This window comes from Homo sapiens, chromosome 14 (assembly GCF_000001405.40).
Source record: "Homo sapiens chromosome 14, GRCh38.p14 Primary Assembly".
NCBI lineage: Eukaryota > Metazoa > Chordata > Mammalia > Primates > Hominidae > Homo > Homo sapiens.
Genome location: NC_000014.9, coordinates 93,586,036 through 93,611,489, shown reverse-complemented (window position 1 = coordinate 93,611,489; position 25,454 = coordinate 93,586,036). Strand labels below are relative to the sequence as shown.

The following is a 25,454-nucleotide window of genomic DNA, read 5'->3' as shown; positions in this document are numbered from 1 at the left end:
AGGTCAAATTCGGAATTTACCAGTTCAGACCTGCACATAAGGTAACAAGCTTAGTTGTCGAGTTTCCCAGACAATCAGATGAATGTTGGTCTGTTCAAAAGTGAACTGCTGAGAAGGGATAGTTGACAGTAAGTGAAGAGGCAACAGAGACAGCTTAGCGTAAGAGCCTCTAATACAGAGAAAACCATCTGACACACTTTAGTATGATTCCAGGACACTCACACTTTTCTGCCTCATACAATCTGTTCATGAAGGAATGAGTATGTATGACGCACTTTAGAGAAACTTTTTATCAAAAATTATTCAAATAAAACCTAAGAATTTGTTTATTACAGTGTTTCACATGCAGGGTGATCAATAAATTGTTAATATTATAATTACTTATTAGGCATGCATCAGGAAAAAAATCAATGTATGTGGAACACCCTATTTCAATGAGAGGCTAGAAAGGTGAAGCATCACAGCATGTGGTTCATAATATATGATTTGACCAAATACAATACCTATGTAAATCCTTGTAAGGCAAAATAGAAAAAGTTTACAGGGCTATTTTTTCAGCATTGAAAAATAGTTTACTCAGGCTGGGCAAAGTGGCTCACATCTGTAATCCCAGCACTTTGGGAGGCCGAGGTGGGAGAATCACTTGAGCCCAGGAGTTTGAGACCAGCCTAGGCAACATGACAAGACCTGGTCTCTACCAAAAATACAAAAATTAGCTGGACATGGTGGTGCACACCTGTAGTCCCAGCTACTCGGGAGGCTGAGGCAGGAGGATCACATGAGCTTGGGAAGTTGAAGCTGCAGTGAGCTGTGATCATGCCACTCTACTCCAGCCTGGGCAACAAAGCAAGACCTTGTCTCAAAAAAAAAAAAAGAAAGAAAGAAAAGAAAAGAAAAATATTTACTCTAGATTTGTTTTTCCACTAGAGTATTACTTTACAACTAGAAGGCCATTATTGCTTTGGACATGTTTGGGCCAAGAATATGACAGGGTTCCCTGCAGGGTTCAAAGTTATTGTGGCAGCAAGTAATGGCTGTTACAATATAGCTTCAATCTTCAACTCCTTTTAGCTCTGGGGTGCAAGGTTGAAGAGAACATGTATCACTCAGTCCTGCTCAGCCACCTCATGTTCACACTGGCTCAACTCCAAAGTCCCAAAGTTAAAAATTGGAACTGAAGAGTGTATGAGAGGAAGTTGCTCCTTTGTTTTATAGTGCTGAGAATCAAGGGACCTCAATACAGAAGAAAGGGAGCTCCCAGCAAGGCCCAGCTAGGACCCTGCCCATTTCCTTCCATCCCAATTCAAGTCTAGAAAATAGACCATCAGACTTCAGCTTAAATATTTAAAAACCCTTCTTCTCATTACAAGTGGGCATGTTTCTAAACAATGTGCAACCCTGAGTTTTCCCATCACATCATATTTTCCTGATGACTGTCATTTCATACATGCCCATCTCACTGATCATTTTCACTGATCTTAAGTTTGCTGCTTTCCCTGAATAGCAAGTAATGAGTAATCTTTAACAAATGTACTGAAAAAAGGATGTTTATGGAAACTTTTGCATAAAAAAATGTTAATCTCCTTTTATTCTAATAATTTACCCCTCCAGAGTGGGCTTTGCAAATCTGCACTTCGTTTATTGCCTCTCTTTGAAATAGAGTAAGCTTGTGACTGGTGCACTCTTCATAAAGACAAGTTACCTTAATCAAATCCCTAAGAAAAATGAGTTGTGGATAAGCTGAAATGTTCTCCATCGATAAAGACAATATTAATGTTTTAACCTAGAAAAGGTATGAAATTTCCATTTCAAAACTAAATGCCTACAAGCATTTTCTCTAAGAAAACAAAACACTTAATAGTATTGAATTCTAGTCTGTGAAATTCCTATATCTGTCCTAACCATAGAGATTTAACATGTTAAAGGGTCTGACGTTATATTTTCTATAAAGAGAAAATATATTTATAATTATAATTATGGAGGCAGAGCTATTCCTACCATACCTTTAATGTGGACTGATTCCATGACAATCTGCCCACAGAGCTGTGTAACTGATTGAAACTCCAAAGTGTAATACAGCATTATTTATTCAGATGATTTGAAACCAGGCAGGATCAGGATCTGCTTTTCCAGACTTATCTCCTATTATTTCACCCGAAATGGTCAACGTTCTTACAAGCTGGGCTACTCGTGGATCTCAGAATGGAGCCGTTTTTCCCTCTTTGCACCTTTGCTCATGGTGCTCTCTTCACCTTGCAAGGTGGTTCTCTACCCTCCCCCAACAATTTTGTGCTATAAACTGGTCCCCAAAAGCCATTCTTATTAGATATACCCAATATTCCTCTCAGCAATTGGATGTGATCCCTAAATTCTTTAAATTTCTAAGGACAAGAAAGGAGGGAGGACAGGAGAGAAAAAAAGAATGGAGGAAAATTTCCTTCAGCATTTTCCTAACTCCCATGTGGCCAATGACAATTATGCAAGGCAGAACATTTTGTGTATTCATTTGCCTTAATACTCCAATAAGAACATAGGCTTCTTGAAGGCAAATGACATATTTTATCCATCTTTATATCCCTCACAGAATAGGGGCCAATGTCTGACATATAGTAGATACTTATTATACATAAATGTCTGTCAAAGTGCACTAAACTCAAATAAATATGTCAGAGCTTACATTCTGTATAAGAGAAAAATTGATAAAGTCCCAAAGCAGCAGGAATATTGGAACGTTTCTCTATGTGAACTGACTCACTGACCCCTCTGCCAAACCAACAAGTGACAATTAGGTAGAGGAAGAAAGGATCCCTCCATGAGCTTACTCTGCACTTGGTCCAGGGCAGCCAATGAGTAAGCACTATAAATGAGGTTCCATTCCACAGGCAGCTCTCACTACACTGCCTCGCTCATCTCCCTGCTTCCTTACCTCAGTTTTCCCTTGTGTGTGCACATATCCACAGCAGGGCTGGAAAGCTGGGGCAGTGGCTAACTTCATATCCTCCTATGATCCCCATCCCTGCCTTTTCTCCTTCCTATTCCACATCCTATTATCATGTGTTTATGTCTCATCCACCAATCAAGCCTGGCTGAAAAGCCACCTGTCCATGAGACCTTCCCTGATGTCTCCAGCTGGTAGAAAGCTCCCCTCCCTTTGCATTTGACATGACTCATCCTACGTACTGTCACTTTCACTCAAGATGAGAGTTTACTGATGTTCATACTTAATATCCCTTACTTGGCCGTAAGCAAGTTAAGAGTATAAAAATTTCCAAAGCATCTTTGTATTCTTCGTATTTCCTAGTCCAGCAGGTGAAAAATAAATATTTGTTGAACAAGCATTTGTGGCACACACCTCTGATCCAAGCTACTCGGGAGGCTGAGGTGAGAGGATCCCTTGAGCCCAGAAGCTCAAGACCAGCCTGAGCCACATAGCAAGACCCCATCTCAAAAAAAGTATTTGTAATATTTGTTGAACAAAAATTGTCACTTCCAAAAAACATATCTTCAAACAAGAGTATTCCTATAAAAACAACTGTACTCTGACTTACTGGATCTTAATGGTCAATAGGCATTTTGCAAGTTAGTGAAGAAGTGAATCATAAACCATCTGTAGAAAGAAAGAGCCCAAAGAAAAGCTATTTGGAATTCTAGGCTGGGACACTAAGGAGACAGGAAAGGTCAATGCAAGAGTGCTTTATTGATCCTAACTAGTACTGGGCACCTTCTCTTATGGATACAAATGCAGGCCAAGAGATCTCCAGGTTTCTCTGCAGGCTGAGGCAGAACTTGGAGTACGCGAGTCCCACGAGAGATGGGGATAGCTCTGGACCAATCTGGGGTCCTAACTGGCAAAGTCTTTTGGTCTGGACACTCATGGCCTTAAGCCACTCTGTAGCAGGCCTGAAAGCCCAGGCCAACTCCATAACCAGACTGGTGTCCTCACGTCCCACAGGGCAGAAATACCCTAAGACCAGTTCATCAAGAGGTAGTTGTGGTAGAAAGAAAGAAAGCCAAATCCCTTGGATGCCAGCATCAGTTCTGATCCTAACTAGTTAGTCATATGTGACCTTAAGCAATCACCAAAGCAGAATCACTTAATCCCTCACTACATTAGTTTTCCTGTAAGTAAAGAGATACTATATATACAGGAAGGATTATCATTATTACATACCTATTATTGTTTAATTATGCGTTCCAGGCGATGAGGAACATGATATAATTAAGCACCCTATGTTCACATGGGATTGATACCATTAGTTCAGTATTGTGCTTATATAACATAATAACTGCTGCATTCTATTCAATTAATCTTCATCAGTATTCTAAATATATGAAGACAAAATTTCCTGGTTCTTACAGCACCAGTGAAAGTACTCCTTACGTCTAATCATACAAATTGTAGTAGCAGTTAAAAAGATTGTGTATCCCATCAATTAGGATGAAATGAAGGTGCTGAATTCCTACGGGCAGTTACTTGCCTTGTTACAGAGCTCAGGACCTCTGGGCTTGAGACCCAGAACAGTCACCAACAAGCTTGTTCTTTTGTGAGAATCAGTTTCTTCCTCTATAAAATGAGATTGTTAACACATCACTAATGTTTCAGCTATAAGATTCTATGAATTTTATTTAGATGCACAAAGCCTTTGATTTGAAAAGTCATAGAGAAATGTGACTCTCTGCAAACCTTGCAGAGTATACTTTCTATAGAAAACAGAATTTTCTATTCCATTTTCTGTGGGTATTATGTAAAGGTTAAGATCAGAGAGTCATAAATTGTAAATCCACTGCCAAAAAGTTCAACCTAAACAGCAATTAAATTTAAATCTTGTTGTATAAAGGGGAATCTGCTTTATTTCAAGTCTAATCAATAAGAGGTCCGCAAAGAGGAGCTCATTACTTGGACCAAAAAAAGTATGTTCGTTAAGTAGCAAGTTCTTCAGTTTCCATTTAATTACTGTCTTAAACCATTCTCCACAATCTTACGATAAATCTGGCATGTCCTTGCTTCCAAGTTAGAAACAGTCAGGGTCCAGTAAATAATAATGCAAAAATGGAACCCTACAGTAGTTTGAAATTGCCTTATAAACTGAGCCAGCTATTTCCATATCTAAGCAAGTTTTGCTTATGATGGTGTCATGTAAATTACCTTTCCTGAAGCTTTAGCTTCATATTTAATTTAAACAATGCTGTTATCTGCCTCTTTTCCATCTGGCCACTTTTGGTGGAATAATTAGATGCCTGAAGGCTTTTTTTAACTGCAAGAAACACATGTACATGTTTTCCCACAGAAATGTGAGGGGACTTCTTGGGTTGGATTGTTAAAATGGATAATTATCATGAAAGACTAGCTTCTCAGCTAAGCTTTAAGACAAAGAGACAAGCTAGAGTAAAATAAAGATAATTTATGAAACTGACTAAGAACAATCTCAAAAATGCCTCACTGAAGGGGAACTGCATGGATTTCATATTTCTAATGAAGCTTTGAATCAGAAGTTCTTATTTTTATTCTTTTAAAAAAAATCACAGCACAGTAGCGTACATGAGCGATGTGTAAGGCAAGGTAGAGGGGCTCTACCAAATGTTTGCTATTCCTTTTTTCTCATCAATTTTAAAAGAGAAAAGACTTTGGCCACCATCTGCTGTCTGCCTGGTTGATCTCTGGGATTTTCTCTCTCCCCTCCCACTTCGGACTCCCTCTCTTTCAAACGTCCTTTTTATAAAACACAATGATCTTTAAAGTCTCCTTACTTGAAATTTTCCTTCTGAGAATGTCTGTACCATTCTGAAACATTTACCTTAAAACTAGTAGTCTTAGATGAAAACTCAAATGTTCTATAGCATGATACATAGGTGGGAGTTACCAAATTTGTTTTTGACTAATAAGCAGGTATTCGGAACCTTCACAATCTTCCCAGTGAGTCACGGCACCATTCATGTGGAATCTCCTTGCCAATGCCCTCTTAGGCTACTTCATGATAAATTGTAATATATCACAGAACATCAAATGATCATTAAACTGTATCATGCTATGGTCCTCCAAACAGAGGAAATTCTCCTTTCTCTGAGAAACAGAAATGCATGTACAGTTGCAAAGAATCAGGAATGGCTAAGGGGATGAGCGGATGACAGTGGTTCAAATGTATAACCTTTTAAAATGTAAATGAAATGTATGGTTTTCCTATAGCAGATATGTATGAACAAAATATTTCTATGTGTAAAGACACATACAAATATAAATACTATGGATAGCTCTAGTCATACTGGCTCTCTGGGGAAAGGTACAGACTCAGGTGATATGATGCTTCTTACTGGACCAAAAGTTAATAGAATCAAAAGTCATCTGTTAATATCAAAATGGAAAGAATTGCCATATCAGGGGTTCAAACACTTGAACATCTGGGGTAAGACCCTTCTGAGCTTGCAAATCCTAGGTATATCACCCTGGTCCAGTTAGAGACACCGCATTCTCTACCTTGTCCACCTGTGATAGACACTTGTACATGGCCCTTCAATGTCAGAAGTACCCACCTGGCGTCTGTTCGGGTGTCCCACCGAGAGCTGGAGCAGACTGCTCATGCCTGGTCAACCTCATAGCTTAAAAATCAACAACAACTCTATTTAAATAAGCATTACAGACAACTGGAGCCTAGAAAATATACTCAGTGCTAACTTTATGGGATAGTAGGGGCAGGTTTCATTTTTCTATTTGAATTAACATCACATAAAAGTTGTTTATGTAACAAACGTTTTGCAGTTTTTATCTGAATCATAAGAACATCCTTCAATGTTACTTCATCTTCAAAATTGTCATGTGAATTAATGAACAAGAAATAACAATAAATATACTTTATATTCTAAACTTATCAGTTAGGATATAAATAGAGCTGGGAAACTCATATAAAATTTGTTATTTATTTAATCTAGGTATTGGTTTCTAGGATTTAAACAGTTTCACCTGGGGCCTAGCACTACCACTGGCTATTCTTAAATGATCACCTGTGATTATCTTTGCTCCCTGAAAAACTGTGTTATTGATTACTTAAAGAACTTTCATTCATACTTAACTCTCTCAAAGTTTAAAAGAACACATTTCCATAGCTTGTCATAAAATAGAGAAAATGTAATGAATAAAATCAAATCATATTTATGATTATAAATGGTTATGTTATATAAGGCTGTATTCTAATAAATGCCAATGAAAAACAGACCTTTCAACTTCTGACAGGATAAGAAATAGGTTTTGGGTCATTATTTTATTTACTTCACAGTGATTATTTGAAGATTAAATCATTTAATAAATTTTACAAGTTAGTAATATATTTAAACATATTCATTAGTATGGTGATTTAGTAATGAATTTTTAATTATTTGTCCTTCATGAGTCATTACTAATCATTAGAGTTTATCTAGTCATTTGGTAATTTAAGGAAAATTTTATTCTCTTTAAAACTATAATATAAAGAAAGACCTTTTATAGAGCAAGTATATATGGTCTTTTTTAAAATATTGGCAATGAAGCTTATTTTTATTTATAAATTATCTGGTGAAGATGAGCAGAAATTCAATTTCTCAGCCCGATTTCTCTATTTCAAAAGCAATCATTATTATTGGTTTGTCTTAGGGGGCTTGTGTGGCTGCTTCTATCAGACATGAAAAAAAAAATACATTCCAAATTTCAACTGTCCCTCCTTAGCCATGATAGGTCTTATTGTCTAAGTCTTATTCAGAAAGCTCTTAGGATACAAGGCTGGTGGTGCAAACTTTGGTGTCCTAGGACTTAGGAGCAAATGTTTCTTCTAAGTTGCATGCCAAGCATCAATGCATTTGCTGCCTTTTACATTTCAAAAACATCTACTGTTGGATCAGGGCTTTGCTACCCCAGCAAACTAGGAAAAGCAACCCTAGGCATTTATACCCCTGAAGTGATTCTCTAGGGAATCTGAAAGCCAAACTTATTGAACAAACTCAGTTTGCTAAACATGCTATACTCTCTGTGAACATTCAACAAGACAAGTCAGCCTCAGAAAGACATTAAACAGATTTAACGGAAGGATGAAAGAAGATACTCAACGAATTTTGGAGGTCAGGGTCTCAGGGAGGGAGAGCGCCCTCTTGGATTCCACAGGCCCTTTCACGCTGTCCCTCAGGGAACGTACACTCTTCTGGCGGTTTCTTGCAAAGCGAGCTCTCTTGATCTTCCATAAGGCTGCATCGCTGAGGTTAGCAACATTGGTCCTCACAGCAGTGATGGCTTTGCAAAAGGAATTAAAGAGACTATCACTCTCCTTTACACAGGGCTTTGTAATCCACCTAGTCTAAAACAATCCATCTGTGTAGAGTTTCAATATTAAAATACATTTTTCATGGATATACATCTCCCTCTATGATGAGTCCTACATACAAAAATAACTATTGCCTATCATGATTTTTTTTCTGCTTAGACCACAAGATTAAATTATCTAATTTTGTTATCATTGGATAGTTGAGTGACAAAAGTCTTTTCTCCACCTATTCAGAGCTGTAGGTAACTGATTAATAACTAAGCAAGAGGCCAGGTGTGGTGGCTCATGCCTGTAATCCTAGCACTTTGGGAGGCCATGGTGGGAGGATCCCTTGAGGCCAGGAGTTTGAGACCAGCCTGGGCAATATAGCAAGACCCCCATCTCTACAAAAAAGGAAAAATTAGCCAGGTATGGTGGCTCACCCCCATAGTCCTAGCTACTCAGGAAGATTAGCTGGGAGGACTGCTTGAGCCCAAGAGTTGGAGGTTGCAGTGAGCTATGATGACACCACTACACATCAGCCTGGGCAGCAGATTCAATGCAATTCCCATCAAAGTACCATCATCATTCTTCACAGAGCTAGAAAACCAACTCTAAAATTCCTACGGAACCAAAAAAAGAGCCCACATAGCCAAAGCAAGACTAAGCAAAAAGAATGCATCTGGAGGCATCGCATTCCTGGAGTTTAAACTATACTACAAGGCTATAGTTACCAAAACAGCATGGTACTTGTATTAAAATAGGCTTGTAGACCAATGGAACGGAATAGAGAACCCAAAAACAAAGCTAAATACTTACAGCCAACTGATCTTCAACAAAGCAAATAAAAACATAAAGTGGGGAGAGGACACTGTATTCAATAAATGGTGCTGGGATAATTGGCAAGCCACATCTAGAAGAATGAAACTGGATACTCGTATCTCACCTTATACAAAAATCAACTCAAGATGGATCAAAGGCTAAATCTAAGATCTGAAACCGTAAAAATTCTAGAAGACAACATCAGAAAAACTCTTCTAGACATTGACTTAGGCAAAGAGTTCATGACCAAGTACTCAAAAGCAAATGCAACAAAAACAAAAATAAACAGATGGAGCCTAATTAAACTAAAAAGTTTCTGCACAGCAAACAAAATAATCCGCAGAGTAAACAGACAACCCACTGAATGGGGAAAAATATTTGCAAACTATGCATCTGACAGAGGACCAATATCCAGAATCTATAAGGAACTCAAACAAATCAGCAAAATAATAATAATAATCCCATCAAAAAGTAGGCAAAGGACATGAATAGAAAATTCTCAAAAGAAGATATACAAACGGCCAACAAACATATGAAAAAATGCTCAACATCACTAATTATCAGGGAAATGCAAATTAAAACCACAATGAGATACCACCTTACTCCTGCAAGAATGCCGTAATTTAAAAATCCAAAAATAACAGATATTGGTGGGGATGTGGTAAAAAGGGAACACTTTTACACTGTTGGTAGGAGTGTAAATTGGTACAATCACTTTGGAAAACAGTATGGAGATTCCTTAAAGAACTAAAAGTGGAACTACCATTTGATCCAGCAATCCCACTACTGGGTCTCTACCCAGAAGGAAGGAAGTCATTATAGGAAAAGACATTTGCACATGCATGTTTATAGCAGCACAATTCACAATTGCAAAAATATGGAACCAGCCTAAATGACCATTAATCAACAAGTGGATAAAGGAAATGTGGTATACATATGTACCATGGAATACTACTTGGCCATTTAAAAGAATGAAATAATGGCATTCACAGCAATCTGGATGGAGTTGGAGAACATTATTTTAAGTGAAGTAATGCAGAAGTGGAAAACCAAATATCGTATGTTCTCACTTGTAAGTGGGAGCTAAGCTATGAGGATGCAAAGACATAAGAATGACAGAACGGAATTTGGGGACTTTGGGGGGAAGGGTGGAAGGGGGGTGAGGGATAAAAGACTACACATTGGGTACAATGTACAATGCTCAGGTGACGGGTGCACCAAAATCTCAGAAATTACCACTAAAGAACTTATCCATGTAACCAAAACCCACCTATGTCCCCAAAACTATTGAAATTTAGAAAGTATGCAAGAGTGAGTTTGCAAGGTGCAAATATGCTTCCTAAAATTGCTCACAAATGTTATAAACATAATGACTGAATCATATTTAGGGAACACACAGTCATAAATGGTTATCATAGGTCAAGGAAATGAAAAGAATTCTGATTTTGGAATGCCAGGATATGCTTAAATCTATGGATTACTACAGCAGCTATTCAATAATCATTTAATGAATTGAGTGCATGAGGTCAAGGCATCCTCTGTAGAGGAATTAAACGACATGCCAATGTCTTCTGTTTGTCTAGGCAAGCACAATGGGAACTGCAACGGTTTACAGCAAGTTCTTCATTTTACTTACTTGTAGGAAAAGGAAATTCCTTGTTACAATCCAAATGTAGCTGGGCTTCCAAAGAAAGCGTCTCAAATCTATTGACAAAGAACTCCCAGCTCAGAGCAGGAATATCCTGCTTAAGAAAGTGCAAGAGTAAAAGCTTGCTCAAAATTGTGGGTCTGTCTTTAACCACAGTATCAAACTGGAAGTCAAGACAAAGACATAGACCCTGGGAAAGAGGAGGAAAAAAAAAAAGAAAAGAAGAAAGTCAGATATAAACATCTAAGTTACTTCAAAGCCGATATACTAGGCAAAGTCAATGAAACAAGGCAGCCTACTCAATTCAAACTTATAATGTAGAATGATCCCACTGGAATCTTTTTTGATTCGAAGTTTTGGTAGGAAAGAAAAATGTAGAAGAGGAATTTATCTTCCTTGTAGAATATCTCTTGAATTTTGATTCAGAAATCTGAACTAAATGCATGCTATTGGTTTTCTAATGTGTTAAATAATAACCACTTAATCCAAATACCCTCAAGTCAATGCATCTGGGTTTTTTGTTGTTGTTGTTGTTTGTTTGTTTCTTTGTTTGTTTTTTGAGATGAAGTCTCACTCTGTCGCCCAGGCTGGAGTGCAGTGATGGGATCTCAGCTCACTGCAACCTCCGCCTCCCGGGTTCAAGCAATTCTCCTGCCTCAGCCTCCCAAGTAGCTGGGACTACAGGCGCCCGCCACCACGCCCGGCTAATTTTTTGTATTTTTAGTAGAGACGAGGTTTCACTGTGTTAGCCGGATGGTCTCGATCTCCTGACCTCGTGATCTGCCCTCCTTGGCCTCCCAAAGTGCTGGGATTACAGGCGCGAGCCACCACGCCCAGCTGCATCTGGTTTTAATGCCTGTAGTCATTAAGAGAAGCGTACTTTCAAAGTTACATTTTAGAATACACAGAAAGATGGTCTAGAAATCTACTTTCAATCCAAAATTTCATGATTCCGAAAAAAGCAAAGTCACCTGGTTTTCTTGGAATGTGAGTGGAACATAGAATGTTAATCAAAGTTGGAATGGATTGAGAACCTGTTCCTCTAGTGTCTGAGTTTACCATTCCCCCTCTTTTTAACAGAATGAGATTTAAAAATTGCAATTCATCCAAACATCCCATTCATTAATTCAGCTGTCATCTAATGAGTGCCTCCTATGTTCCAGGCCCTAAGCAGGGGTAGGACATAGAAGTACCTGGTAAGATCAACAGAGAAGAACTATTCAGAAGTCAACTGGAGATTTTACAAAAAAAAGAATGTGCCACAGGCAGCATAACCCTTCAGTCTTTCAGGTCGTGCAAGCTTGCCCTTGCTTCTTGGTCTTAAAATGCAGGAAGAAGTTTACACTGGATTGGGAGACAGTGTATGCACACATACACACACACACACACACACACACACACACACTTAAGTATGTGGACTGTATTATAAATCAGTGCTGAATTTCCTCTGCAGATAACTAGCTATGTGACTCTGAAAAGGTGGCTTAACCTTTCTAACTCTCAGCATCTCTATCCATAAAATGAGAACACACAAAAGGTAACTGTGAGGATTAAATAAGATAATGCATAACAGGACACTTTTAACACACTGCCCTGGAAACACAGTAGCTATCTGAGGAATGTCAGCTCTTGCTATCATTAGTTGAATAATAACAACAAAATAATAAATCAGATGCAACATGGAGAAACAGTAGATCAGAACTTTGGAGGCTCTAATCTTGATTTTCTCATTAAATCACTTTGTGTCCTTTGATAAGTCACATTATCTCTCTGAGACTTGGTGTCTCCACTAAAAAATAAAGGTTCCAAACAAGATAAATATACCACTCTCTCCAGGTCTCATATTTCTTGTCTCTTTGGCTTTAATTTGTGAAGTTTTGTTATGGTAGCATATTTACCTTCTCATGTTTTACTTTGATTAAAACTATAATTCAGGCCAGGCGCAGTGGTGGCTCAGGCCTCTAATCCCAGCACTTTGGGAGGCCGAGGCAGGCGAATCACTTGAAGCCAGGGGTTCGAGACCAGCCTGGCCAACATAGCAAAACCCTGTCTTTACTAAAAATACAAAAATTAGCCAGGCGTGGCGGCGTAAGCCTGTAGTCCCAGCTATTCGGGAGACTAAGGCATGAGAATCACTTGAACCCGGGAGGCGGAGGTTGCAGTGAGCCGAGATCACACCACTGCACTCCAGCCTGGGCAAGAAAATGAGACTCTATCTCAAAACAAAACAAAGCAAAAAACTATAATTTATCTGATTTCTGTTAGCATCAAGGCTCTAACAACAGAGGCCTCCAGCCCAGGAGCTAGCTAAGTGGTGTAAGATAAACCAACCTAGTTTTAAAATCTGCCACACACACACACACACACACACACACACACACACACACACACACGTTATGCAATAATTACATCTGTCCAAAGTAATATCAGCATATGAACAAAGACTGAAAAGAAAGTATCAACAAATGGGCCAGGCAGTACAGCTCATGCTTATAATCCCAGCACTCTGGGAGGCCAAAGCGGGAGGATTGCTGGAGGCCAGGAGTTCAAGACGAGCCTGGGCAATATAGCAAGATCCTGTCTCTACAAAAAAAAAAGTTAAAAATTAGGTGGGTGTGGTGATGTATACCTGTTGTCCTAGCTATTCAGGAGGCTGAGGAAGGAGGATCACTTGAGCCCAGGAGTTTCAGGCTGCAGAGAGTTATGATCAGCCTGGGCAACAGAGTAAGACTGTGTCTTAAAAAAAAAGTGGCATCAACAAATAACAACAAGGGATCTTTTAGCAAGATGTGGTTCTGGTATATTTCTTCCAGTTAAAAAATCTCCATCATCATCGTCAATATTATATGTGATGTTATGGTCTGAAAATGTGTGCAAGGGCCTCACCCCCAAATTCCTGTTGAAACTAAATCACCAATATGATAGTATTAGGAGGTGGGGCTTTGAGAGATGATTAGGTCATAAGGGCAGGGCCCTAATGAATGGAACTAGTGCCCTTATGAAAGAGGCCCCAGACACAGCAAAGGCCCCATCTATGAACTAGACAGCAGGCCCTCGGCAGACAATCTGCGAAATAAATTTCTGTTGTTTATAAACTACCCAGTTTATGGTATTCTGTTATAGCAGGTCAAACAGACTAGGACGTGACAAACAACGCAATGATTTAGTAGTGCTGACACAAACCACCTTCGGAGCAGATAACACAAATCACATGTCACCTGCAATGCTGGCCTCTTTATGGTGTCAAGCAGGAGACCAGCTCTGGTAGCCACTGCGGGGTTGACATCCTCCACTGCTGTCAGGAAGCAGCAGAAGGCATGTGCCAGGGAGTACTTCAGCAGGTGGTTTTTGGTTACTGAGTGAATATCCAGAAATCTACAAATTACAGCAACTTTTTCCACTGCAATGTAAAAGAGAAGGCAAAATACGTAAATACACACACACCTACAGGCACACGCATACACATTTATTTAGCCAGTCTGAGAACTGAACTCACAGACAAAAAGTTAACTCTGGGTCTCCCGCATGGTTTACTTTAAATCCCAACAGGAAAGTCTAATACCACCATCTCGAGTGTTCCATTTCATCTGTGCAGCAGAGACTCTTTCTACTCAGAGCAGAACTTTTTTTTCCCACGCAGCCTTGATCTAACTCTGGGTTGTCTTTTACAATTTTTTCATGGTCTTTCTCTTTGTTTAACTTTCAGCTATATTTCAAAATATTCCAAATGCCTCTATGCTTCTTTCTGTGGCCATTCCATAGAAGCTCTGCAGATAACAGAGAGGTAGGAGGTGCCCACCAGTACTGGCTCTGGGTTCTGGTCCCCTGCTCTACTCTTAGTAGGTCGTGGTGTGAAATGGCAGACCAAATAGACATTTCCTGGGGCTATCGAAGCCAGGTATTTCTTCCATGCTATAAATATACGCTTACTTGATAGATTTCTAATTATTCTGCAAATCAATGTTAAACAATTCCATCCACACTTAAAGCATGGCTTTATAAAAAGTTACAACAGCTAGCAAAGCAATATAGTGCAATGCAAATTAAGACGTTTCAGTATTTTGCTTAAGCTATTGCAACAGCCTAGAATATTCTTTTGTTTGTTGGTTTTGTTTTGTTTTTTTGAGATGGAGTCTCACTCTGTTGCCCAGGCTGGAGTGCAGTGGCACGATTTCAGCTCACTGCAACCTCCATCTCCCGGGTTCAAGTGATTCTCATGCCTCAGCCTCCCAAGTAGCTGGGATTACAGGCAGGCACCACCATGCCCAGCTAACTTTAGTATTTTTAGTAGAGACAGGGTTTCACCATGTTGGCCAGGCTGGTCTCGAACTCCTGACCTCAAGAGATCTGCCTGCTTTGGCCTCCCAAAGTGCTGGGATTACAGGCATGAGCCACTGCACCCAGCCTACAGTATTCTTCCTATTGACATTCTACCATCCTTAGAGAATCTCTGCTGAAATTCTGTTTTGTAAAGTCTTCTCTGATCTCCTAGAGTGGCCTTTCCATCCCATGAACTCCTGTAAAAGTACTACTCATTTGCATATCATTAATTTACATATTGCATTTGTGTGCTCAGAATATGAGCTATGAACACAATATGTGCTCATTATATGACATATTTTATTTTGTGGTCTTGATTATATTTATGCCTTTTATAATTTGTCAACCTCTTACATGCTTATATTTGATCTCATCAATTAAACCGGAAGCCTCCTGAGGACAGCAATCTGCTCTTACACTTCTTTCTATTGCTCCCATAGCACCTAGCACATATCTAATTTATTCAATAAATTCACTGATTCGCTTATTTTAAAATATATATATATTAAGCACACATATGTATACCACTAAGAAACTATCTTAGGCACTTGGGAGGAGATAGAAGTAAATGGAAAGAGGAATCATTCATAACTCTTGACCTCAAAGTTAAATTGACTAAAATAGATAAGACACGTACAACTATAGCTGAAATATGACTTTGAAAAAGCTGTAAATGCCTCTAGTGTGGTATAAATAAAATGCTATGGGAGATCCGGGGATACATAAACCACTCTCCACAGGGGGGACCTAGAAGGTGGACCTCAATGGCGGCATTTGAAGGTGGATCATGTGGAGGTGGCATTTGTGTAGGGCCTTAAAGGAAAGAGGATGAAAGGTGGAGAGCCCAGAATGGCCCCCGCGTGGATGAAGGGAGGCAGGAAGCAATGGGAACACAGCAAGGGTGTGTGTAGAAAGAAGCGCAGGAAATGAGGCTGCCTGCAGTTGCAGTCAGACCATCTGAATGGCAGTTTAAGGAGTCTGAACTTTATTCTCTAGGCATTCAAAAAAACCCCATTAAAATTTCTTGAATAGAAAAGTAACATGACCTTGGCCGGGTACGGTGGCTCATGCCTGTAATCTCAGCATTTTAGGAGGTCGAGGTGGGTGGATCATCTGGGGTCAGGAGTTCAAGACCAGCCTGGCCAACATGGCGAAACCCCATCTCTAGTAAAAATACAAAAATTAGCCGGGTGTGGTGGCAGGTGCCCGTAGTCCCAGCTGCTCAGGAGGCTGAGGCAACAGAATCGCTTAAACCCGGGAGGCAGAGGTTGCAGTGAGCCGAGATCACTCCACTGCACTCCAGCTTGTGCAATAGAGCAAGACTCCATCTCAAAACAAACAAACAAACAGAAAAAAAAAAAAGGAAAGAAAGAGAAGTAACATAACCAGAGCCGAGATTCAGAAGATTAATCCTAACCCTCCACAACATGATGTGCTGTCATATATATATACTAACTAGCCCCTGAGATTCCTGTGGGCATTAAAAAGCAAGAACGTTTTGAAGTGGCCATATATTAAGGAACTGAACTAAAGGTATAATAGTTACCTCACTGATGAAACTTCCATTTCTGTGCCAAACTTTTGAGACACAAACCTACAGAACTGTTCTGAGAAGCCACACTGTGGCATGCCGACCCCGCCTGCTACCCCGAGAATGGAACTACTAGCAGATTGGAGTGAGAGTGGGCCAGCAGACATGAGGCTAAGAGAACCCTCCCAGGTTCCTTCCTTACCACATTACTCTGAGAACCTGCTGTTCTATTTACTAGGAAATTATACCCAAGCTGCACCAGACTTGGTCCCTGATCCCTCAGTGGCAAGGGTATACAGCAGAGATTCTTGAACCTCTTATTAAAAATCTCAGTTTCTGCCCCAGCACAGTGGCTCATGCCTGTAATCCCAACACTTTGGGAGGCCAAGGTGGGCAGATCACCTGAGGTCAGGAGTTCAAGACCAGCCTGATCAACATACTGAAACCTTGTCTCTACTAAAAATACAAAAATTAGCCTGGTGTAGTAGCATGCACCTGTAGCCCCAGCTACTTGGGAGGCTGAGGCACAAGAAATACTTGAACTCAGGAGGCAGAGGTTGCAGTGAGCCGAGATCATGCCACTGCACTTCAGCCTGGACAACACAGCAAGACTCTGTCTCAAAAAAAAACACAAAAAACCTCAATTTCTGGCATCACCCCCACCTCCCACTGAGATTCTGATTCGGTAGCTCTAGGATGTGGCCAGATAATGTGCATTTTAACAAACATTCCCAGTAACCGATGCAAGTAAACTCATAGGTTGACTGAATCCAAGCCAGTGTCTGTTTGGGAGTAAACATGGGTGCAGTTAATCGCTACACTTGGGTAACAGGCATAAGCTGGGTCTGTCCTATGCAAACCTGGACAGGACCACCCTCCCTAAGGACCACTCTGCAAAATGCTGTTATTTTAGAGAGGAAGCTCAAAGCAGAACCCCCAAAGGACACCAGCCAGCAGGAGAATGCCTTTTAAAAAGAAGGGACAAGAAAGGAGGTGCCAAAAAAGATGCCGTGACCAGACACCCGTGTACTGTGTGACCCAGAATGAGTTTTAAGCTAACACAGAGGTACCTGCTTCAAACCTCATCTTCCAGTCTTTGCTGTTGAAATTGCCATTTATGATTGTCCAGAAGATGTCAGCACCATGAGGAAGTGACAGGGCATGGAGGAGAAGAGGGACTGCCAGGGAAGACAGCTGAGAGAACTCGGATTTGACGACCCTCCACAGGCTAGGGAATCAAGGAGAAGCAAAGTGGTGACAGTTATCACAACTTTTCCAGAAAAAGATCCTGTCCTCTTAATTTATGGCAAGAGTAGTTACAAGACGGTGGGTAGGGGTGCTTTTGGTGAAATGACACTCATCCACGAGAGGATAATCCTCTGACAGACGTTTCCTATGCTCTGTCCTCTTAACGTGACACTGCAGAAAAGCACTTTTACTTAACATTACATTTTATAACTTAAAAATCTGCATAATGTAAATTCAGCAATATAAATAAATGGCTTCAGTAATATACAAAGTCAAAATTAGGTACGTTAGGATGATGGAGTAATACGTGATTTTTAAAAATTTTCTTACAGTGAGCATCTGGCAAGTTTGGTTGGTTTGGCCTGCCCAGCCTCTTATGATGTCAAAGAACAACTCTTTTTCTCTTAATAACAGCCTCTCCAAGAACAGACAGGTCATCAATCAAGCTCCCCAACCTTCTCTATCATAAGGGGGAACACAAACAGGCTGATCAAAGAACGTCAACAACCTGAATAAAGTGATTAGCTAGGAGAAGGCGTATGACCCAAGCATGGGAATAACAGAACTCTTATTTCAGGGACTGTTATGCACTCTGGGAGAAAGAGGCTCTCTCTCCTTCTGAAATCTCAGGAATGAAGGGTGATGTCAGCCTGCAACTGCCAATGACCCTCCTTCCCATCTCACAGGGACAGCCTGTGCTTAACGGAGAAGCCAACACTTAGTTCCATTTAAGAAGCCAAGCCACAGTTGGGCTATGAGATGGGGAGGGAGTGAGAAAGGGGAGGAGGAGAAGACAGAGAAAGAGATCCCTGATAACATCCTGCACCTCAGCAAGTTTCAGCTAAGTTCCTATCAAGTTCTACAGGAATAATTCTGAATATAATATATTTTAGTAATAATACATTATTGTTTCCATTTTTTTCAATTATTTAAAGTATGCCTTTTGGTTGTTTTTGTTGTTGTTTTGTTTTGTTTTGTTTTCTATTTGACTCCAGAGTCAATATCAGAATCAAAACTACAGTTGACCCTTGAACAACACAGGTTTGAACTGTACAGGTCCACTTATACATGGATTGTTTTCAATAAATATATTGAATTTTTTAGGAGATTTGCAACAATTTTAAAAAGTTCACAGATGAACCATGTAGCCTAAAACTAGTGAAAAAATTTAAGGAAAAGTTATGTCGGCCAGGCGCAGTGGCTCACGCCTGTAATCCCAGCACTTTGGGAGGCTGAGGCAGGTGGATCACAAGGTCAGGAGATCGAGACCATCCTGGCTAACACAGTGAAACTCCGTCTCTACTAAAAATACAAAAAATTAGCCGGGCGTGGTGGTGGGCGCCTGTAGTCCCACCTACTCAGGGGGCTGAGGCAGGAGAATGGCGTGAACCCGGGAGGCAGAGCTTGCAGTGAACCGAGATTGAGCCACTGCACTCCAGCCTGGGCGACAGAGCGAGACTCAGTCTCAAAAAAAAAAAAAAAAAAAAGGAAAAGTTATGTAATGAATGTATAAAATATATGTAGTTACTAGTCTATTTTAACATTTACTACCATAAATTATACACGAATCTATTATAAAAAGTTAAAATTTATGAAAGCTTACACACACAAACATTTACAGACCATACGTGGCGCCACTCACAGTGGAGAGGAATGTTAAGCAAATGTAAAGACGCAGTATGAAATCATAACTGCATAAAACCAACTGTGGTACACACTGTACTACAGCAATAATTTTGTAGCCATCTCCTGTTGCTATTCAGGTGAGCTCAAGTGTTGTCTGTCTGTGTGAGCAGTTCCTCTCTCCAGTAAATTGCAAATCACAGTAAAAAGTGATCCCTCGCAGTTCTCGCGTCTTTTTCATTGTGTTTAGTGCAATACCGTAAACCATGAATAGCACCATGGGTCCCATACGAAGTGCCACTAGTGACGCTGGAAGTGCTCCCAGAAAGCAGACAAAAGTCACGACGTTGCTAGGAAAAGTTGAATTGCTTGACATGTACCATAGCTTGAGGTCTGCAGCTGCAGCTGCTCACCATTTCAAACAGACAATTCATCTTGTAAACAGATGGCATAAACTTACGGTATTGATAAACACAGTACGGTACTGCAAATGCATTTTCCTTATGATTTTCTCAATAACATTTTCTTTTCTCTGGCTTACTTTATTGTAAGAATACAATAAATAATGCATAAAACATACAAAATATGTGTCAATCAGCTCTTTATGTTATCATAAGGCTTCTGGTCAACAGTAAGCTATTAGAGGTTAAGTTTTGGGGAAGAGAAAAGTTAGACAAGGATTTTCAACTGCACAGGGGTCAGCACATTTGTACCTCCCCATTGTTCAAGGATCACCTGTATTTGTGACTTTACATAGCTCATGCTGCACCGGTAAGAGAAGGGAAGAGTGACACGTGCCATCTCCATTTTACAGAGAGCATATGGAGGTACGAGCCACTCCAGTTGGCTGTTTTTCAGAAGGCATACTAGAGCTATAGAATGAAAAGGAGTGATTTTTTAAATGCCATATGCTTAATCTAAATAAGTGGAAGTCAGACAAACAGGGACCTCATCCCAACCCTGCCATTCATAAGCTGTGTAACAATGTGCAAATTCTCTAAACCTTTGTGTCCTCCCAGTGTGGGCTTTAAACAAGATGTGCAGAGAGCATGGCACTTAGTAGGTATGCAGAAACCTGAAGCTGCTACCACCATCATGATTACAAGGACGATGATGCTTCCAGAGCACAATAGGCCCTAGGAAGAGTGCAAAGGAAAAAGAAGATATAATTTGTGCCTTCATGGAACTTCCGGTGTAGTTGAAGAATGCAAACCAGGCAGCCCAGCTAGAAAACCATTTCCATGACAAAGCCCAAGATTCGGCCAGTCCCATTCGCCTTTCCCAGCTCTCGAGGGCAGACTTGTTTGGAAAGGGGCAGAGCATCTCTTCCACAAGTCCTTTCATTGTCCATCATGGTTTTTGTGTCATGGTGGCACTTTGCGGAGAAAACCTGGCCCTTTAAGGAGAAAGCCTGGGCTATGGACCCTAAAGGCCGAGTGGGTAGTCCCATGGCACTAACAGTCCATTTGGCAAGTGTACATTCTGGGGGGTTGCTTTCACAATAAAAAATAATGCCCATCTCGTATTCCCATGTTGAATTCATGGAGCGTCTGCCTAACTCTCGACCCTTTTCCCTCACTCCTTTCGTCCAGATCTGCTGATGGTCTCGAACTTCACACTGTTCCCTCCGGGTCATTCCTACTCTTCCCCACTCCAGGTCAGCCATGTCTGCCCTTTCCCTTTCCCCAGCTTCTTCCTCCCACTGCAGCTGTAGAATCCCTGTTTTCTTGGGAAGAAACTTCTATAGATCCTCCACCTTTCTCATGGTATGCTTCTCTAGTGGGCTGAAGAGTGCTCCCCGAAAATTCATGTGCAATCAGAACCTCAAGATGGGGCCTTATTTAGATTTCATCAGTTAAGATGAGTTCCTACTGGATAGAGCGGGTCCTAAATATAATGAATGACTAGTGCCCTAATAAGAGGAAGGGGCACTCAGGGACACACAGGGAAGAAGACCATGTGGCAAAGATTGGAGTGAGGCAGCTATAGCCAAGACATTCCAACAATTGCCAGCAGCCATGAGAACCCAGGAGAGATGGAAGAAAGTCTCCTCAAATCAAGCAATCCTCCCACCTCAGCCTCTCAGTAGCTGGGACTAAAGGCTTGCACCACCATACTTGGCTAATATTTTGTTTTAGCAGAGATGGGGTCTTGCTATGTTGCCCAAGCTGGTCTAAAACTCCTGGCCTTAAGTGATCCTCCCACCTCTATTTTCCGACATGCTGGAATTACAGGGATGAGCCACTGTGCCTGGCCTTAAGATTTTCTCTTGAGAGTCTAGAGTCTCAATGAGTCTGGACTCCCATCTTCACCAGGCCAAATGACCCTTGCTTCCCAAGACTTCCTCCAGGCCTCCTCTTAGCAGCCTCTTTCTTTTGAAACCCATGACATTGATGCACAGGGTCCTCTCCCAATTCTTTGGTCCATTAGGCACCTAGTTCAGTCTTGCTCCTCAGGCGGGCCTCTGCAGATGCCATCAGTGGATCAAGCCCTGGTCTCATTCACACCTCCTCATCCCCAGTGGCCTCTGTCTTTACTCTGCTGGATGAGATGCTGACCTCCCCTCTATAAGGCTGAGAACACCCAACTTCCCCCCCATCCCCCAGCCCATACTGACTGAGACTCCTCTGCCCTCTTTTCCATACTCTTCTCCCAAATATCAATTTTTCTGGCTTCATCTGCTTTCAATCGTAGAATGGATCCCAGAGACAACCGTTTCATCACTCTGGAATCCTCATCCCTCTGAGCTTCCATCATAACCATATCACCAGTCCCCGGTCCCCAGTAAACCCTTTGCCCATTTGCTCTCGTCCACTCCTAAGCCCCTGAGCGCCGGAGAAAAAGAAACCCAAACCCCTACTAAGTTGGTCCACTGCAAACTGGTGCTAGCTAACCTCAGCCGAACCCTAAAGCTGGTGATTCTTTGGTTATTTCTTGTTTACTTCCTGCTGCTTTCCTCGTGCAGGCTGTCCCATACTCTTTTCCATGTTCCTGAAGTTCCCAACACAATGTCTGTCATCATCTCTCAGGAGAAGACATCAACACCTAATATTCTTAAGGCTTAAGTCAGCCGTTATAAACTCCCCTTAACACTTTCTCTTTGCCTCAAAATTTATCTTCTTTCAAAGGAAAGGGTATTCTTCCTGTTTTCCACCCTACCTTTTGTTCTTGATCGCACACTCTCCTGCCTTCCAGAACTTGCACCCACTAACTGTTTTCTTTCTCTGGCCCTTTCCCACTGACCATAAATATGTTCGGATTTTCTCTCTCTTTTTTTTTTTTTTTTTTTTTTTTTTGAGACGGAGTCTCCCTCTGTCTCCCAGGCTGGAGTGTAGTGGCACGATCTCGGCTCACTGCAAGCTCCACCTCCCGGGTTCACGTCATTCTCCTGCTTCAGCCTCCCGAGTAGCTGGGACTAAAGGTGCCCACCACCACGCCCAGCTAATTTTTCTGTATTTTTAGTAAAGACAGGGTTTCACTGTGTTAGCCAGGATGGTCTCGATCTCCTGACCTCGTGATCCGCCGGCCTCGGCCTCCCAAAGTGCTGGGATTACAGGTATGAGCCATCGCACCTGGCCGTTCAGATTTTCTTTATCCTAAAAATCCTTAATGTCTACTCCCTTTTCTCTCTAAGTATCTGATGTTTCCTTTCCTCTTCTAACAAACCTTTCAGAAAAAAGTTCTGCATTGTGTGTTTATATTCAGTAAGCTTTGTAATGTGCTCTTAGCACTCTCTTAAATTTGGGTGCTTTCCAAAAATCTCTCTTTTCTCCATACTCATTCTAGTAAAGCACACCTCTGACTCTATTTTAAGGTCTTCCATGGATCTCCAAACATCATTAAATAAAATCCCTATCTTCAAGGCCCTTCATACTTGGGTCCCAACCTACTTCTCCAGCCTCATTTTCCATTACTCCCTTACATCCACACCATCCGGCAAAATAAATAAATAAATAAATAAATAAAGCTTCAGTATCCCCCAAGTATGCCCTGCTTATTTCTGGTCCCTTCTTTCCAACTCTGCTATCTGTTTCCTCCTGACATTCCCAGGTTTTACAACATGTCCCACCCATCTCAAATCTCTACCAATGAAAATTCTATCGTTATCTCAATGCCCATTCAAGTGGTATTGTCTCCAGAGCCTTTCATCATTCATCATTCATCCAGAAATGCTCTCTCCCACCTCTGAGCTGTATAAAGCAGTCATTTATCACATTCCCTTGGATTGACAGTGACTTACATATACATGACCATGAATCTTAGTTTAACCAAGACTGTCGAGTTTATATTCATCCTCTTGGGGTTATTATGAAGACCACCTCTCTTCACTCTCAAACGTACACAAATTTGAATACTAAATTATATGGTCACCTTTTCTCTATATAGGATTCACCCCCTTCCAAACTAGATTGCAAATTCCCTAAGTACCCAGAACAAGAATGTATACAGTAAGCCCTCATATTTGTTGAATGAATAATAAATAAACAAAATGAGTAAAGAAAGATAGAGCCTCAATGTGGTTTGTCATCAAGTTAACCTGAACCAATCTTTTCCTTTTTTACTGACTCATTCTCATACATATAAAATAAGGATGTTTCTGATTTATTTCCAGGAAGATTGCAAAAGTTATTTTAAGGTTTTCAGGAGGAAAAACGCTGTAAATCTAGGGTAACGTTTTATTATAATTTTCAAAATGTCTCACCAGTCTCTAAAAAATAACTTATCAGATAGTATATGGAGAGATTTAGACATCTATTAGCAGTTCTATTTTAAGTAAGAAGGTAGGTAAGTCCTTACTTAATTATACTAGGTAAATATTAACGTATTTTTTGGCATTTTTCTATATTTTCTATATTCTTAAGCCATCTAACAAGTGAAAGGCATACAATAATTTTTACTTTAACTTTTCTATTTATTCAGTATCAGGCAAATGGAAATTACCATTCCTTGTATTAACGTACTTTTAAATTAGACTAAAAAAGAAAAATAAAAGTAGTTATCATAGGCAATCGAGCTGTCCTGGCTCAAAAAATAACCCAAACAAGCCAGTAAATCTTAATCTAACTTTAATTTTCACAACTAAAGCCTAATGTATAAACAATCAAAACAAACCATTAGGAAGACGTACCTTGCAATCAACATGTGGTCCTGAATGTAGGCTAAAAATTGAGGGTGATCTTTTCTGGCAATGTATAAACATTCTCCATGCAGACAGAGAATCTTCAGGCAATTGAGCATATTAAAAAGAATGTCTGGCTCTTCAAACTTAGCCATTTCCTATACAAAAAACCACATGGTTACTAAGTTATCCAAAACAGTAATGCTACCAAGCCAAGTATTCAAAGACATCAGAAAATATACCTGGAAAATGGTATATATTAGTCTCAATGTTACCGGAAGCTGTTGGTAGCAAAATTTTCTTTCGGTATCATTCTTTACTGCTGTGAAGAAATAATTACACAAAAATTAGGCTAACTCTTCCTCTCCCCCATCATTCATCAATTTATCAAGATCATAAAAACCAAGAAGAGTAAAAAATTGACATATATGCAAAATTGTTTGAGAAAACTTTTTATCTGCTCTCCACATTAGCATATATCCCTGCTATGATACAAGTGCAGGAAATCTTCTGAATTGAGGATTCTCAGTTTCCATTTTCCACTGCGCAGTCCATCATGTATTCAGATGTCTTTGGCTCCCTGGAGCTAACCCTACCCAAAGACAACTGAATACATGATTGATTGCACAGTGCTGCTAGTTCTGTTAGTTCTGCTGCTCCCTGAAGGGACCTGGAACCTGGCTAGCTATGCCTTCCTAATTGGAAGGGAGATATGCAGGTATTAAAGAGAGGTGTTTGGATGGGCGCGGTGGCTCATGCCTGTAATCCCAGCACTTTGGGAGGCCAAGGCGGGTAGATCACTTGAGGTCAGAGTTCAAGACCAGCATGGCCAACATGGTGAAACCCCATCTCTACTGAAAATACAAAAATTAGCCAGGCATG

General features: G+C 40.5%; 1 protein-coding gene across 33 annotated transcripts in view; it reads right to left on the bottom strand.

Moving 5' to 3' along the window:
• Nucleotides 1-25,454, bottom strand: part of UNC79 (unc-79 subunit of NALCN channel complex) — a 374,695-nt gene that overhangs the window by 96,387 nt on the left and 252,854 nt on the right. For 23 of the 33 annotated variants that reach the window (XM_011537027.3, XM_011537026.3, NM_001395159.1 and 20 more), the window contains 7 exons: nucleotides 24,815-24,894; nucleotides 24,582-24,730; nucleotides 17,653-17,810; nucleotides 13,950-14,131; nucleotides 10,720-10,921; nucleotides 8,072-8,251; nucleotides 6,529-6,594 (listed from right to left, as the gene is read on the bottom strand). In XM_011537027.3, the coding sequence (XP_011535329.1) occupies nucleotides 6,529-6,594; nucleotides 8,072-8,251; nucleotides 10,720-10,921; nucleotides 13,950-14,131; nucleotides 17,653-17,810; nucleotides 24,582-24,730; nucleotides 24,815-24,894 (1,017 nt within the window). The remainder of the gene's footprint in view (nucleotides 1-6,528; nucleotides 6,595-8,071; nucleotides 8,252-10,719; nucleotides 10,922-13,949; nucleotides 14,132-17,652; nucleotides 17,811-24,581; nucleotides 24,731-24,814; nucleotides 24,895-25,454) is intronic. The other 10 variants (NM_020818.5, NM_001346218.2, XM_011537020.3 and 7 more) reach the window with 1 other exon arrangement.